Source organism: Homo sapiens, chromosome 6 (assembly GCF_000001405.40).
Source record: "Homo sapiens chromosome 6, GRCh38.p14 Primary Assembly".
Lineage (NCBI taxonomy): Eukaryota > Metazoa > Chordata > Mammalia > Primates > Hominidae > Homo > Homo sapiens.
In genome coordinates, this window is record NC_000006.12 from 145,724,720 (window position 1) to 145,741,908 (window position 17,189).

Genomic DNA, 17,189 nt, shown 5'->3' on the forward strand with positions numbered 1-17,189 from the left:
TTCTAATAAAGACAATTTAAAAAATAATGGACAGTATTTTCAAAAAATGGTGCTGGAACAAGTGGATGTCCATATGGGGAGCAAAAAGAACCTAGCCACAGACCTTATATAAAACATAAAAATTAACAGAAAATGGCTTATAAATATATACATATGTAAAAACTTCCAAAAATAACATAGGAGAAAAACTAGACGCCCTTGGATTTGGAGAAGAGTTTTTTTGTTCAATACCAAAAGCATAATCCATGAAAGAAAAAAAAAGTTGTTGGATTTTATTAATAGTTTTGTTTTGCAATGGACACTGCTACAATAAAAAATAAGTCACACACTGAGAGAAAATATTCGCAAATCACCCATCTCTCAAAGACTTGTATCCAAAATATACACAGAACTCTTAAAAATCATGAATTTAAAAATGAAAAGATCTGAACAGACACCCAAAGAATATATACAGATGGCAAATAAGTATATGAAACAATGCTCAATATCATTTATTACAGAATTGCACATCTAAACAATGAGATACCACTATGCACCTATTACAGTAGTTAAAATCCAAAACACTAACAACATCGACACTGATGAAAATGTGCAACAGGAACTCTCATTCTATGCCAGTGGAAATGAAAAATACTAGGCCACTCTAAAAGATGGTTTGGCAGTTTCTTACAATGCTGAGTAGTCTTATCACATGATTCAGCAAACCCACTCCTAGATATCTACCCACTGATATAAAAATTCATACCTACACAAAAATCTGCACACCAATGTTTATTCATAATCACCCAAACCTGGAAGCAATCAAGATGTCTTTCAATAGGCAAATAAACAAAATGTGGAACATACATATAATGGGACATCATCCAGCAATAAAAAGAAATTACAGCTACAGAAAAAAACATAGATAGATATTAAATATATTGTTAAGTGACACAAGCCAGTCTGAAAAGGCTACACACTGTACGATTCTAATTATTTGACATTGTGGAAAGGCAAAACTATGGAGATGGTAAACAGATCAGTGGTTGCCAAGGGTTTGAGGAGTGGGAAGGGTTGAATAGACAAAAGACAGAGGAGTTTCTAGGGAGGTGAAACTAGTCGAAATGAGACTATCATAATGAATACATGACACTGTGCATCATCAAAATCCACAGAACTTTATATTACAAAGAATATATTTCCCATATATATACATAATTAATATAAATGTATATTTCTTTGTTTTGCCAGCTAAGAAGGCCTACAAGCAACAATATCCCAGAAGGAAGAGGCACACTCACTGCCCAGATCTTGATTTCTAATATCATTCTACAATAAAATCAAACAGAGCTCCTTGGAGAAATGTCCAATTTTAGCGTGGAGGAAGGAGACATAAAAGATGATCTCAGAGCACCTTGTAGTGCCAGAAAGTAAGGAAGTGCTCAAAAACAAACTAAAAATCACACACACAAAGATGGGGGGATGTCAAAGAGACACAAAAGAGAAGTCACTGAAAGAGTACTCAATGGCCAAACCTGAAATAAACTGAACAAGAAAATAAAGTAGTAAGATATTTAAACCAAAGTATAAAATAATATCCGTGAATTCCTATATATATAAATAATTGAATAGGTAAATAAATGAGGGAGAAGAGACAAATCCTCCATATAAATACATTCCAGAAAATTAATGTAGATATTCTGCCCTCAAGCAGGCAGAACATAACTTCTCACTTTTTAAACGTGAGCACTGCACAGTGACTTCTTCTGAAAGACTACAGTATGGAAATATGGGGAAAACACAACTTTTACAGCAGAGAAAACTAACAAATATGACTTCAACTACATGATCAAAGTCATCACAAACGGTAGTAAGTCATGTTAATAGTATAGATCCTTGATATGATGTAATAAGGAAGGCACTTTACTTTGATGGTCTTCCCAAAAACCCATAATCCAAGTCTAATGATGAGAAAGAAACACCAGAAAAATCCCAATTGAGCAACTTTCTGCAAAATACCTGATGAATACTATTCAAAACTTTTAAGGTCATTGCAGAAATACATAAAGTCTGAGAAACTATCACAGTCATAATAAATGTAATGTGGTCATATAGATAAGGTATTGGAAGAGAAAAAGTATGTTAAGTAAAAATAATGAAATATGAATGAAATCTGGATCCTAGTTAATAATCATGTATCAATATTGGTTCCTTAATTATCACAAGTGTCATACTAATATAAAATATTAACAACAGAGGAAACTGGGTAAGGAGTATATAAGAACACTCTGTACCGTCTTTGCAACTTTTCTGTAAATCTAAAATTATTCTGAACAGTTTATTCTTAAAAATACATGTAATATAATTTATCATACCTTAAAATAATCCACAAATAAAGCTCAGCTATGGTTACTCAAAAAGGCATGGAAAGAAGTAGTCAAATACTATCAATAACTGTTAGAAAAATTAGTCAATAGAAACCACACCCAAATATGACATATATAAGGAAACGAGAAGATAAGGACACTGGCTATATCTTCAACATGGTCACGAATTTAAAGAAAAACATAAGCTAAATGAGAACAAAAGAAAAAGATGCACAAGAATACTGAATGGAACTTCTACAGATGAGAAATACAGTATCTGAAAATAAAATTTCACTGGATGGGATTCATAGCAGATTAGACCTAGAAGAAAGCCTCAATCTTCTTATTTATATAACAGAGAAATGAATATCTGCCTTGCAGTGTTGTTGTGAGGACAAAGGGTAATTTAATTGAAAGCACCTAAGAAGTAATTAGCCCATGATAAAAAAAAAAAACCTCCGTTTCTGTTCTGTGCTCTATTCATTCAACCAATATTTACTGAGCAGCTACTATGTATCAACTACAATTGCAGGATATAAAAGAATGAATAAAATACACATAGTCCCTACACTCATAGAGTTTACAATCTGGTAGGAGACAAAAACCAATAAATACACAAATAAATGTTGTACATGATATTTTTGTTTTAAACTGTAGCATGCATTGTTAGCTGCCTACCTAAAATCTACTCTACTCATTCTTCTTGGTAATCACTACCCTAATTTTTTTCAGGGAAGGAATGTGCTGGCCTAAATAAAGCACTTTCCCAGTGATATGGTTTGGATTTTTGTCCCCACCCAAATCTCATCTCCGAACAGTAATCCCCAATGTTGAAGGAGGGGCCTGGTGAGAGACGATTGAATCACGGGGGCAGACTTCCTCCTTGCTGTTCTTGTGAAAGTGCATTCTCATGAGATCTGGTTGTTTAAAAGTGTGTAGCACTTCCCCCTTCTCTCTATTCCTCCTGCTCCAGCCATGTAGGACGTGCCTGCTTCCCCTCTGCCTTCTGCCATGTTTGTAAGTTTCCTGGACCTCCCAAGCCATGCTTCCTGTACAGCCTGGAGAATCATAAGTCAATTAAGCTTCTTTTCTATATAAATCACTCAGTCTTAGGTCATTCTTTATAGTAATGCAAGAACTGACTAATACAGAAAACTGGTTCTGGGAAGAGGTGCATTACTATAAAGATACCTGAAAATGTGGAAGCAGCTTTAGAACTGGGTGTTGGGCAGAGGTTGGGACAGTTTGGAGGACTCAGAGGAAGCAGGAGGATGAAGGAAAGTTTGGAACTTCCTGGAGACTCGTTGAATGGTTGTGACCAAGATGCTGATACTGATATGGACAGTGAAGTCCAGGCTGAGGTGGTCTCAGCTAGAGATAAGGAACTTACTGGGAACTACAGTAGTCACTCATGTTGTGCTTTAGCAAAGAGACTGGCAGCATTGTGCTCCTGCTCTAGAGATTTGTGGAAATCTGAACTTGAGAAAGATGATTTAGGGTATCTGGTGGAAGAAATTTCTAAGCAGCAAAGCATTCAAGGTGTGGTCTGGCTGCTTCTAACAGCATATGCTCATATTTATGAGCAAAGAGATTATCTGAAACTGGAACTTATACTTAAAAGGGAAGCAGAGCATAAAAGCTTGGAAAATTTGCAGCCTTGCCATGTGGTAGAAAAGAAAAACCCATTTTTAGGGAGGAATTCAAGCCAGCTGTAGAAACTTGCATAAGTAAAGAGGAGTTGTATATTAATAGCTAACACAATGTAGAAAAGGCCTGGAAGGCATTTCAGAGACCTCCATAGCAGCCCCTCTCACCACAAGCCTGGAGGCCTAGGAGGGAAAAATAGTTTCACAGGCCCAGGGCCTCACTACCCTGTACAACCTCAGGACACTGCTCCCTGAATCCTAGCTTCTCCACCTCCAGCCTTGGTTAAAAGGGTCCCAAATATGTCTCAGTCCACTGCTCCAGAGGGTGCAAGCCATAATCCTTGGAAGTTTCCATGTGATGTTAAGCCAGCTAGTGCACAGAGGGCAAGAGTTTAGGCTTGGGAGCCTCCACCTAGATTTCAGAGGATATTTGGAAACACCTAGATATCCAGGCAGAAGTCTGCTGCAGCAGCAGAGCCCTCAGTGAGAACCTCTACTAAGGCAGTGCACAGGGGAAATGTTGAGTTGGAGCCCCCAAACAGAGTTCCCACTGGGGCACTGCCTACTGGAGCTATGAAAAGAAGGCCACTGTCCTCTAGACACCACAATGGTAGATTCATCAACAGCTTGCACCGTGGGCCTGGAAAAGCCACAGACACTCAATACCAGCTCATGAAAGCAGCCATGGGGGCTGTACCCTGCAAAGCCACAGGGGCAGAGATGCCCATGGCCTTGAAAGCCCACCCCTCACATCAATGTTACCTGGGTGTGAGACATGGAGTCAAAAGAGATTATTTTGCAACTTTAAGATTTTATGGCTGCTCTGCTAGGTTTTGGACTTGTGTGGGGCCTATAACCCCTTTGTTTTGACTAACGTCTCCCTTTTGGAATGGGAGTACTTAGCCAATGTCTGTACCCCCATTGTATCTTGGAAGTAATTAAGTGGTTTTGATTTTACAGGCTCCTAGCCAAAAGGGACTTGCCTTGTCTCAGATGAGACTTTGGACTGTGAACTTCTGAGTTAATGCTGAAATAAGCTGAGACTTTGGGGGACCGTTGAGAAGGAAAGATTGTATTTTACAGTGTGAGAAGGACAGGAGATTTGGGAGGGGCTGGAAGTGGAATGATATGGTTTAGATTTGTGTCCCTGCCCAAATCTCATGTCTGAATTATAATTCCTAATGTTGGAGGAAGGGCCTGGTGGAAGGTGATTAAATCATGGGGGTGGACTTCCCCCTTGCTATTCTCATGATGATAGTGAGTAGGTTCTCATGGGATCTAGTTGTTTAAAAGTGTGTAGCACTTCCCCATCTTTCTCTCTTCCTCCTGCTCCAGCCATGCAGATCGTCCCTGCTTCCCCTTCATCTTCTGCCATATTTGTTCGTTTCCTGAGGTCTCCCCAGCCATGTTTCCTGTACAGCTTGTGAAACCATGAGCCAATTAAACCTCTTCTCATTATAAATTACCCAATCTCAGCTACTTCTTTATAGCAATGCAAGAACTGACTAATACACCCAGTCTCTTCTGCAGCAGAGGTAGTCAAACACAATAGTTCTGGCCAATTCTAAACATAAAACAAAGTGGGAGTGTGGAGGTATTCTGGTGAACATTTGCTTCCTAGATTATGGGGAATACCTAAGGATGATTCTTCCACTCTTCCTTCTTCTCCCTTATTCCACTAAATGCACATGTGATGAACAGAGCTGCAGCAGCCATCTTGTTGCCTTAAGGGAAAAGCCAAGAGAATACAGTGTGACACTGCACGTGACATCCAATTTAGGCATATAGTCCTGAGCTTCTTGTGGGAAAGCCTAGCTTGACAGAGTCAATTATCTTGAGAAAATAAAGCCAAGACCTGAGAAAAGCAAATCTGAGAACAAGAGAGTGAGAGCTAGAAAGCAAGTGAGGAGAGAGAGGCTGTACTCCATGCTTCTTTCAGTTTGGTTACATGAATTGATTTTTTTAAAATTATTTTTAGACTGGTTCACATTCAGTTTCTGTTACTTGCAATTAAAGAGTCCAATCCAGCATAGTTAATGTGATTTTTAGCCTGTAATAAGTGATATAAGAAAAAGGAACAGATGTTACGAGAAAGAATCAGTAGGTAGTTAGGGAGGTCTTCTAGAAAAGCAACATGAAAGAGGAAACCTAACAAATAAACGCATGTCAGCCTGGAGAGGAGTTGAAAGAAAGGTTTCCCACCTGCCTCCTTCAACCCCTTCCCATCACCAACATGGAATAAGCATGCTCTAAACACAGCAGGGAAAGGGTTTCCTGGAAAGGACCCTAGTGTGGGTATAGGAGCTGGAGATTGGGTGAAACAAATCCTGTGATGTCTACAGACCCACACGACAGACCTAGAGGTAAAAAAAAAAAGGAAACTCCATTCAACAATAAAATATACTAAATTATCCCACCTCATGATCAAGTTCTTTTTACTTTGCCAATGATAACGATCTTAAGCCTGCTGGCTCCCCAGCCACACACCCTGAGCGGAATTTTATCCTTAACAAAATCTGCCAAATTACACAGTATTCCATGGAGTGTTCTCCCATTTAGAGGAGGTTTTCAATAAACCTAACAACTTCAACAGAAAACCACCACAGCTACCCCTACTGATCAGCATATCCTTCATTCATAAAAATGAATGGATATCCAAGGACTACCAGATACTGGAGAAAAATCAATAGAATAAAAAAGCCATCCTGAAAAAACAATTGACTACAGAGCACATGTATGTTTATAGCAGCAAAATTGACAATTGCAAAGATATGGAACCAACCTAAGTGCCCAATGACTAATGAGAACACAGGAAAACAAAACCAAACACCACATGTTCTCACTCATAAGTGGGAGTTGAACATAGAGAACACATGGACACAGAGAGGGGAACATCACACACCAAGGCCTGTTGGTGGGTGGGGGTTGAGGGGAGGGAACTTAGAGGATGAGTCAATACGTGCAGCAAACCACCATGGCACATGTATAATACTTATGTAACAAAACTGCACATTCTGCACATATATGTCATTTTTTAGAAGAAATTTTTTTAATGAACAACAAAAAAAAGAGAAAGAAATCATAGAAAATTTCCCTGAGTTGAAGGAAACAATTCCTGGAATTTAAAGAGCCAACCAAGTGCCAAGTGATAAAACAGACTGCTAACAGGAATGGGCTTAGTTTCACATTAGAATTATCAGCCACAGCTGATAATTATCAGCTAGAAATTACTGAGGCAAAGTCTTCAAAGGAAAAATTATTTTAAGACCAGAATACTGTACCAAATGATCAATCAAGTGGGAAAGCCAAATAAAGACATTTTAGGAATTTGAGGGCTCAGATATTTTCTCTCTGATTTTACCATTTCTTGAAAATTTTCCAAAGAAATGATTAAGGTTTTTAAGAAAGAGGAAGATATACCATTTAAAACAGTGCAACTAACATAGGAGTTCGATTGTTTTCTTTAAAGTCTCAGGTTTACAGCTAAGACTTGTGTGTGTGTGTGTGTGTGTGTGTGTGTGTGTGTGCGCGCCAAAGTAAGGAAGGGAGAGGAATGTGTAAGTAAGCTATTTTTCTTATCCTCTCATATAGGGGTAACTTCCTGCATAATAGGATTATGAGAATGAACTTTCTATGTAACAGAAAGTCAACGGTCAATATTTTATATAAAACTGATACATATATCAGAAACACACACACACATATATATATATATATATATATCAGAAAGCCATATATTAGTGAAAAGTGAAAATTAGAACAGGAATCCTAATTCTTCAAGGAAAAAATTCTATTTCCAAGAAATAAGCAATATGCATTCATCAAGTAGTGCAATTAAGCTAGGACATTGTGAGAACTGGTTTAACTCTTCTGTTAAAAAAATTAATAACAAATTTTTAAATAAGTTGTAGAAGAACATTACAGTCCAAATATGAAGTAAAACAAATTCTAGTACCATTTTAAGTAAAATCTGAACATGATTTATAGTGAAGAAAAGAGAATTTTTCCTTGCAGTGGTACAGTTTTCATGTCACAAAATTTTATTTCCTTGTTTACGAGTCTAATTGCACAACGTGGTTTCCCAATAATCATAGTAAAAAATAATAACTAGCCCTTATTTAACATTTACCATATGTCCTCTTGTAAGTTCTTAATATATATCCTATTCTACAAAATACAGTTCATTTATTAGGCAGCTTGGTCCTTTCATTGTGAGCTGAGGTGACACGCCTCAAATCCCACACTGGTTGGTGAGCCCAGGCAATCTGGCTCCAGAATCCTTGCTCTTAAACACTTGGCTACCCTGCTTCTCATAAAGCTCTCTGTTAATTTACGATGTTTAGAATCAGTCTATTTACCTTAAACAAGAAGGCACTGTAACAATTAGAAAATAGAATATAAATTATATAAAACTTGATAATGTAAAAGTCATAATAAACCAAAGTGAGACAGGAAGAAATTGTAATATTTTTCTTATCCTCTCTTATAGGAGTAACTTCCTAGAAAGTCAACAGTCAATTTTTAATACAAAACTGAAAATAATTCCTGCTTGGATAGTAAAGAAAAATATTTATCAAAAAAACTGAAAATAATAGTAAAAAAAAATCAGCAGGGAAGACAGAGAGTGAACTTGAGCTAAATTCCTCATATTTCATAACAAGTGTGATGGTTAATTTTATGAGCATCCAGTAGGTGTCAATATCTATTGCCTAATTTTAACTTTTAAAATTATATATAACTTATATGGTAACTATTAGAAAAATTAAAAACAAAAGTTTGTGGTACCTTAAGAAATAGCAACATAAGCAAACTATTAACGGCATAGGGAGGACTATCAGAAAAGCTAAATAACTAGGGAAAGGGAAGATCTTTGTTTCACACCATTTCCATTTTTATTACAATTATCAGATATTATTTTAAAAAATAATTCTACAATACTATGAAAAATAGTAATACTCTGTAAAGAAAGGATAAACTGAAGAGGGTATCTTTCAATTCTGTCATGGTAAAATAACAGACCAATAAATGCTACCAGACCATAAGCCCAGTGAGGTAGAGAAGGAGAACAAGGATAATATATAAACACATTCCACTCTAATCTTCTTTACTGATTCTTTGTTTCTACATCATTACAGGCTAAATGGCCCATTTTTTTTTTCATATAAACTTCTAAAGAGACATTCATTTCATTGACTTCAACTATTGAGTCACACCCACTCCAGTCTACAACCTTGCACATTTCCTTTAAAGAAAGGAGCTGTCTCAATTCAGACACTGTTGGCGGGAGCCGACATTAGATAATCACCCTTTTAGGGCATAATTTAGCAGTCTTTAATGAAGTGTTAAAAAAAATGACTGCATTTTGACCTAATAATTTCACTTCTTTGAATCCACTCTGCAGAAACACTCCCGAATGTTCAAAGATATCTGTAAAAGGAATTTCAATTAAGCCACTACTGTTTACGACAGAGGAAAACTGAAAAGAACCTAAATGCACATTGGTAGATGCAGAATAATTTGTTGCCATTTAAAATATACATCTACATGTAAAATACATATCTACGTGTAGTGACAGTGAAAGATGTCCCTAACATATTGTTAGGCAAGAAAAGCAAAAATTCAGAATTACTATACAATTTTTGTAAAAAAAAAAAGTATATGCATATATCACATACATAAATGTGTACAAGCAGTGTGCTTAAGATGTGTGGAGGAAACACTGTAAGTTTTCACTATGTACATTTCTTTATTATTATTTTACAACCAGCATGTATTGTTTTAGTATTTTAAGAAATCAGGTCATGTCTCAATTGTCATATATCTGGGATTAAAAAAGAAAAAAAAATCCAAAAAGGGAAATATTCAACGTTTTTCCATTAGTTCATTCTCAATATCTATGAAAAAAATCTAAGTAGCACATTGCTGTCTAGGATTAGCGAAAACGCTAGTTTCGTTGGTTGGATCGTTTTGGGTTTTTTTTAGTGAATTAGAGCAGGAAAATGAGGACACAAAACCCAACCAAGGCGGAGTTGGGCTGTTGAAGCCATCAGCGGCGCGCGGCCGGGCAGCCAAGGGACCCGCGAAGGGGGGGACTCGGAGGTCGAGGGGCACTCGGAGGGCGAAGGGAGCCCCGGGCGGGAGACGAAGGGCACTGGCCCGTGACGCAGGCGCGGTTGGAAAGAAGCTGAGGACTGGATGTGCGGAAACCAGGTCAGAGGGGCAGGCAACAGAGTGGGCGGGAAGGCGGCCGGGAGCGCTATACGGGTCTAGGGAATCAGTAGGAAGCCGGAGGCGCGGCTGGCGGCGACAGCGTGGCCGGCAGAGCAGGGTCAGCCCAGGTCGCCCGGGGAGTGCGCAGGGACGCGGGCAAAAAGCCCGGGACGCGCGCCGCCGGGGCCTGCGGGGCCTGCCCGAGGCCGAGGCCCCGGTTGGGGGTGCGGGCCGGAGCTCCCGCTCTGCGCCGGGGGCAGGCGTCTGCTGGCAATACCTTCCCAGGAGAGCTCTCCTCCCGGCTCCCGCTTCAGGAACTTGTACCAGAACGTGTCCACGCGGCCCGGCTCCGCCCCGTCCTGCGCCGCCTCCTCGGCCGCCAGCTCCACCTCCCCGAGCCACAGGCCCGGCTCCTGCAGGGCCAGGGCCCCGTCGCCCGCCGCGGTGCCGGCCGGCCTCAGGCGGACGGCACCGCGCGGCTCCCAACGCCCCAGCTCGGGCCGCGACCCCACCACCAGCAGCTCCGGCCGGGCGCCGGCCACGGCGGGTGGCACCACCACCCCAAAGCGGAAGCGCATGGCGGGCGGCGGCGGCGCGAATACCCGGGCCCGGAGTCCCCGCGGCCGGCAGGCGCGGCCCGAGCACTAGGCGGCCGCAGCGATTGGGCGGTGGTGTGGGAGCCCCGGGCACCGGGGAGAACACGTGCTGTTCTGCGCCTTCTTTGGGATGCATCACGCGGCTCCCGAGCCCAGACTTCGTCCAGGCCGGCGGGAAGGGGTCAGCGGAGCCGCTAGCTGCCTCTTTGTGCCCCGCAACCCCGCGGGCGGTTGATTTCCACCTGTGGGCGCTGGGGACACGCGACCGGAAGAAATGGAAGAGAAAACGGGGTTCGGGGAGGGAGGAAAACTTCTAAGCCAGGCGATCGTCCAGTTCTCTCTCCAAGAGACTGGAAATTAACTTTATGAGGATCATAAGGAAGGGAATGACCTCTAGACAGCCGCCTTCTAATTGTGAAACGGGGGAAGATCTTGGACCTGGTCTCTGGAGCGCTCCCTATCTTAACCAAGTCACTTACTCTAGCAGGTCTCAGGTTCTTTGTCTGTAAAATGAGGGTGTAAAATAATGATCTTTCTAGACCCTACGAGCTCTGAAGGATCTCTGATTGGTGGAGATCACCCAAGACCCGGAGCTGATGCAAAACATTACCTACCATTCCCTTGTCTGAAAAGCCACATCAACTTTCTTTTTTCAAAAACTATATTTTTAGTATGTGTAAAGTAAGTTTGGAGTAAATACTTTCAAGTCCTTTTCAAGGTCAAAACAAAAACTAATTCTGTGACTACAAATGTATGCTTTTTTTTTTTTTTTTGAGACAGAGTCTCGCTCTGTCCAAATGTATGCATTTTTAATGGAGTAAATTAAAAAAAAAAACCTTTGTTTAAAATTTACTTTCAGCAAAAGTCAGCATTATTTTTTCAACTTAAAACCTTTTTGGGTTTTAAGTTGAAACAGGTTTTTTAGCTGTCTGGCCCAAATCCAAAATACGTATATCTTGGTGGGGAACTTCAATTTGTCTCTGCCATAAGACAAACGAATGTCCTGATACTTTTTGATTCTTTAACAAAATTATCCTTGTATTCTTAGGTTTATATATTCACTAACATTTAACATAACACAAATCTGTTACGTGAATTAAAGACACACAAAGGCATTTTTACCAGTGTTTGGAAGTTTGTGAATAGTAAAGGGGAACAGGCCAAAATTTCATGCGTTGAGGATATAAGTAAAACAGAAAGTGCAAAAATGTAAACTACACAAACTCAATCTCTTGTGGAACAATTAGAAAACTAATAATACATTTTACTCTTGAATGTTGATATTCCACTCGAAGTTTGGTTGGTTGCTAAGCTTAAGGATAAACACTATGAAAAATGTGAAGACAGAAGGGCTGGCCAAACACAGCTGATTCGGCAGCAAATCACACATTAAATCACAGTGGCATGTGAGTCGGTTTATTCAAATTGCTGTTAAAAGATATTCTTAGAGTAAGTTTAGGAAAATAAGAGTCATTTGGCGATGCAGAGAGGATTTTGTCTACAGTGGAATCCAGACTCCGGTGAAAGTTCTCATTCCTTCAGGACCTGGGAGCTAACAGCTCCGGACTTTCTTGTGCTCCACTGTGCTGCCTATGTTGTGTGCTTCCCAAATGGCATTATTCCCACCAGCTCTTCCAGAGTGAGTTCTGCCCATTCTGTAGAAGAAACAGTAGCGGAAAAATTAAACAATATCTTTGCTCAACGGACATTGTTTCCTTTACTCTTCTTTCATCATAAAGAGGTTGAAATAATTTTAACCATTGGAAGAAGTAACCCTCTTAAGCCCCTAAACAAAATTTGTAATAGCTTATTTTATGGCAAGGATTTAAATAAGGTATAAATTGGATAGCTGCACTGTGTAGTAAGTAAAATGCAACTGGAAAGGAGAACAAGACCAAAATAGGGCTTAAGGGACATATATCAAGGCCTTGATCATATTTTGACGGTCAGTCATTTGGATGTATAAGTATTAACCATGATAATATCCATTGAGCCTATATTATGGGCCAGGCACATGGTTTTCGTACTCATATTATCTTATTTAAGTCTCTCACCAATCCTATAAGGTAACTACAATTGTTACCCCCATTTTTAGATGTGAGGATACTTCAGCACAAAAGGGTCCAATGAACAGCCCACAGCAAGGAAGGGGCAGAGCCAGGGGCTAAAAGGGGTGCATTCAGCTTATAGATATAGATACAGATATAAATTCTGATAAGGAAAATCTGTTTCAGAATGCATATAAATTCTAGCATATTTAAATGTTATTCTCTGTCAGCTCTTAATTTAAAAAAAATAAATTCCTATCATTATTTCTTGTAACTAACTTCATCCTTAGGAATTAAAGAACAGATGAATCATGAGTGGCAGTCTAAACGGATCAATGACTCTGTAAAGACACATATATCTTAGCATTTGGAGAGGATTTGGCTGCAGGTTCTTGGAAATTATAATTTGTATGCCTTTTTATACCTATGTGTTGGCAATAGAAACAGATTTAAGAAGCCAAGGTGAAGAATTTTACCAGTTTTTAAATTGTGTTAGTTTTAGATCTTTTTCCTTGTTGGGTCCTCCATATGAGATTTCTTTTTACATTTCGAAGAATCATGGTATTTATTAAAAGGGATTATTTATGAAATCCATTTGAGGTCAGATTCTTGATGCTATGGGGACAAGCTAAATTTAGAGCAAGAATCAGTCCAGTAGAGTAACATAATTATGATAATAATTTTTAAAAGACCAAAACAATTTGTTGTCATTGAATTTCATTTTTATAATGCTATCTTATATATAACTATAAACTTTCCTGAGGAATGGGTGATAAATTCAAACATAGAGTTTCAAGATCCAATTCAAATGTAAATTCTTTTGAAGCCCCCTCAGGGAAAGCTATTAGTTTGATCTTGGGAGATTTATGCTTTCTGAAGCAATCTTTCACTAGTCAGTGAGTTATCATAAATCTTTCCTTGTAGTATTTTATATGTGTATACACATTCACTGATGTAAACCATATTTTATCCACATAGTTCAGGGACTGTTATAAGTATTAGTTTATTACTCAACAAAACATATCTAAAAGTTAAATGTGTCACATATACTATGCAATTTTGTAGCAATAAAAAAAAATCCCTTTCAGACAGAGTTTGAATACAGCTTAAAAACTTTTGCATGTTACAGCTAACTTTTTTCTGGATTGAAAAAGTATGGCTTAGGCTACCTCATAAGTTGGGGTTCCCATGGGTTAGAAACCCCTTTGGAAATCTAGAACAATAGAAGGATATAAACTAAACTAAGGCTTTGCCCCAAAATCCCACTACATTCCTCAACTGTTGTAAAAATTCATGTCTTTTTTTGATACATATAAAAATCTCGTCTCCAGTCGATTCCAATAATTCCAGTTCCCATCCATACCACCGTAGAGAAGTTTTGCATCTTCAGTGCATCACCACCGGCCTGTTTTGTCATTCTTCTTTCTTTACAATTTACATTATTAAAATATTAATTTTTAGGAATGCTCCAAGCATGAAATTACAATGAAACGTATGCCCTTTCAGAAGACATTGACCTGCCCTTTCCGTCACACACCTCCATCATTGTAAAATCTACACCTCCTCCCCTTCACTTCTCCTTTGAAAACCTCTACTCAACAGGGTCATTCAAGCCTGGGTTTTCCTAGGCAATGACCTAAAATGACTTTGCCTGGGGAAAGTAGAGTGCCAAGCCAGGTGGCTGGACCTCAAGATTAGAGACACTGGTTTAGAGCTTCCTTCAGCTGTAAAAAGATCCTCCTAGGTCTGAGTAACTTGAATGGCAGGCTGGTTAATACCCTTCCCAAACAGAGTGGAGAGCATGATAACTCAACCCTTAGGAATAAAAGAATGGTGGCTGGAAGGGAAGATTTGAAACTCCCAAAGGAACTTTCAAAGACTTTGAGAAAAAGGAAAGAGGCTAGCTGAAAGCAGAGCTTACTCATTTACACTTAAATAGAGAATGGAGACTGTTGGCAGGGCAAACCTGATAAGTACTTTTTAAAAAAAATTATTCTACTTTAAGTTCTGGGATACATGTGCAGAACTTGCAGGTTTGTTACATAGGTATACACCTGCCATAGTGGTTTGCTGCACCCATCAACCCATCATCTACATTACATATTTCTCCTAATGCTATCCCTCCTCTAGCCCCCACCCCCCGATAGGCCCTGGTGTGTGATGTTCCTCCTTGTGTCCATGTGTTCTCATTGTTCAGCTCCCACTTATGAGTGAGAACATGTAGTGTTTGGTTTTCTGTTCCTGTGTTAGTTTGCTGAGAATGATGGTTTCCAGCTTCATCCATATCTCTGCAAAGGACATGAGCTCATCCTTTTTTACGGCTGCATAGTATTCCATGGTGTATACGTGTCACATTTTCTTTATCCATTCTATCACTGATGGGCATTTGGGTTGGTTCCAAGTCTTTGCTGCCGTGAATGGTGCTGCAATAAACATACGTGTGTATGTGTCTTTATAGTAGAATGATGTAAAATCCTGTGGGTATATACCCAGTAATGGGATTGCTGGGTCAGAGGGTGTTTCTGGTTCTAGATCCTTAAGGAATCACCACACTGTCTTCCATAATAGTTGAACTAATTTACATTCCCACCAACAGTGTAAAAACATTCCTATTTCTTCACATCATCTCCAGCATCTGTTGTTTCCTGACTTTTTCATGATCGCCATTCTAACTGGCATGAGATGGCATCTCATTGTGGTTTTGATTTGCATTTCTCTAATGACCAGTGATGACAAGCTTTCTTCATATGTTTGTTGGCAGCATAAATGTCTTCTTTTGAGAAGTGTCTGTTCATATCCTTCACCCACTTTTTGATGGGGTTGTTTGGTTTTTTCTTGTAAATTTGTTTAAGTTCCTCATAGATTCTGGATATTAGCCCTTTGTCAGATGGATAGATTGCAAAAACTTTCTCTCATTCTATAGGTTGCCTGTTTACTATGACGATAGTTTCTTTTGCTGTGCAGAAGCTGTTTAGTTTAAATACATCCCATTTCTCAATTTTGGCTTTCATTGCCATTGCTTTTGGTGTTTTAGTCGTGAAGTCTTTGCCCATGCCAATGTCCTGAATAGTATTGCCAAGGTTTTCTTCTAGGGTTTTTATGGTTTTAGGTCTTACATTTAAGTCTTTAATCCATCTTGAGTTAATTTTCATATAAGGTGTAAGGAAGGGGTCCAGTTTCAGTTTTCTGCATATGGCTAGCCAGTTTTCCCAGCACCATTTATTAAATAGGGAATCCTTTCCCCATTTCTTGTTTTTTGGCAGGTTTGTCAAAAATCAGGTGGTTATAGATGTGTGGCATTATTTCTGAGGCCTCTGTTCTGTTCCATTGGTCTATATATCTGTTTTGGTACTAGTACCATGCTGTTTTGGTTACTGTAGACTTGTAGTATAGTTTGAAGTTAGGTAGTGTGATGCCTCCAGCTTTGTTCTTTTTGCTTAGAATTTTCTTGGATATACAGGCTCTTTTTTGGTTCCATGTGTAATTTAAAGTAGTTTTTTCTAATTCTGTGAAGGAAGTCAATGGTAGCTTGATGGGGATAGCATTGAATCTATAAATTACTTTGGACAGTATGGCCATTTTCACAATATTGATTCTTCCTATCCATGAGCATGGAATGTTTCCCCATTTGTTTGTGTCCTCTCTGATTTCCTTGAGCAGTGGTTTGTAGTTCTCCTTGAAAGGTCCTTCACATCCCTTGTAAGTTGTATTCCTGGGTATTTTATTCTCTTTGTAGCAATTGTGAAAAGGAGTTCACTCATGATTTGGCTCTCTGTTTGTCTATTATTGGTGTATAGGAATGCTTGTGATTTTTGCACTTTGATTTTGTATCCTGAGACTTTGCTGAAGTTGCCTATCACCTTAAGGAGATTATGGGCTGAGACAATGGGGTTTCCTAATTATACCATCATATCATCTGCTAGCAGAGACAATTTGATTTCCTCTCTTCCTAATTGAATACCCTTTATTTCTTTCTGTTATCTGATTGGCCTGCCAGAACTTCCAGTACTATGTTGAATAGGAGTGGTGAGAGAGGGCATCCTTGTCTTGTGCTGGTTTTCAAAGGGAATGCTTCCAGCTTTCGCCCATTCAGTATTATATTGGCTGTGTGTGTGTCATAAGTAGCCCTTCTTATTTTGATATACATTCCATCAATAAATGGTTTATTGAGAGTTTTTAGCATGAAGCGGTGTTGAATTTTGTTGAAGGCCTTTTCTGCATCTATTGAGATAATTGTGTGGTTTTAGTCATTGGTTCTGTTTATGTGATGAATTACATTTATTGATTTGCATATGTTGAACCAGCCTTGCATCCCAGGGATGAAGCTGACTTGATCATGATCAT

General features: G+C 39.1%; 1 protein-coding gene and 1 long non-coding RNA gene across 13 annotated transcripts in view, besides 4 other annotated features; one reads left to right on the plus strand and one right to left on the minus strand.

Annotated features, from left to right (window-relative positions):
* The window catches only part of EPM2A (EPM2A glucan phosphatase, laforin), a 352,671-nt gene extending 341,367 nt beyond the window's left edge, over positions 1 to 11,304 (minus strand). For 9 of the 12 annotated variants that reach the window (XM_024446550.2, XM_011536113.3, NM_001360057.2 and 6 more), the window contains exon 1: positions 10,479 to 10,801. In XM_024446550.2, coding sequence (XP_024302318.1) covers positions 10,479 to 10,779 — 301 coding nt within the window. In that variant the 5' untranslated portion in view covers positions 10,780 to 10,801. Of the gene's footprint in view, positions 1 to 10,478; positions 10,802 to 11,188 lie in introns of those variants that run through there. The other 3 variants (NR_153398.2, NM_001360064.2, NM_001368131.1) reach the window with 2 other exon arrangements.
* Positions 10,150 to 17,189, plus strand: part of EPM2A-DT (EPM2A divergent transcript) — a 151,717-nt gene continuing 144,677 nt past the window's right edge. Inside the window, exon 1 of the long non-coding RNA NR_038246.1 lies at positions 10,150 to 10,201. This is a non-coding gene — a long non-coding RNA (EPM2A divergent transcript). The remainder of the gene's footprint in view (positions 10,202 to 17,189) is intronic.
* Positions 10,276 to 10,865: a silencer, noted in NCBI's record as "silent region_17642". NCBI's record gives its function as "represses an Ori minimal core promoter by ATAC-STARR-seq in GM12878 lymphoblastoid cells {active_cell/tissue: GM12878}" and the evidence as "EXISTENCE:reporter gene assay evidence [ECO:0000049][PMID:35858748]".
* Positions 11,026 to 11,085: an enhancer, noted in NCBI's record as "active region_25224". NCBI's record gives its function as "activates an Ori minimal core promoter by ATAC-STARR-seq in GM12878 lymphoblastoid cells {active_cell/tissue: GM12878}" and the evidence as "EXISTENCE:reporter gene assay evidence [ECO:0000049][PMID:35858748]".
* Positions 11,096 to 11,145: an enhancer, noted in NCBI's record as "active region_25225". NCBI's record gives its function as "activates an Ori minimal core promoter by ATAC-STARR-seq in GM12878 lymphoblastoid cells {active_cell/tissue: GM12878}" and the evidence as "EXISTENCE:reporter gene assay evidence [ECO:0000049][PMID:35858748]".
* Positions 11,166 to 11,215: an enhancer, noted in NCBI's record as "active region_25226". NCBI's record gives its function as "activates an Ori minimal core promoter by ATAC-STARR-seq in GM12878 lymphoblastoid cells {active_cell/tissue: GM12878}" and the evidence as "EXISTENCE:reporter gene assay evidence [ECO:0000049][PMID:35858748]".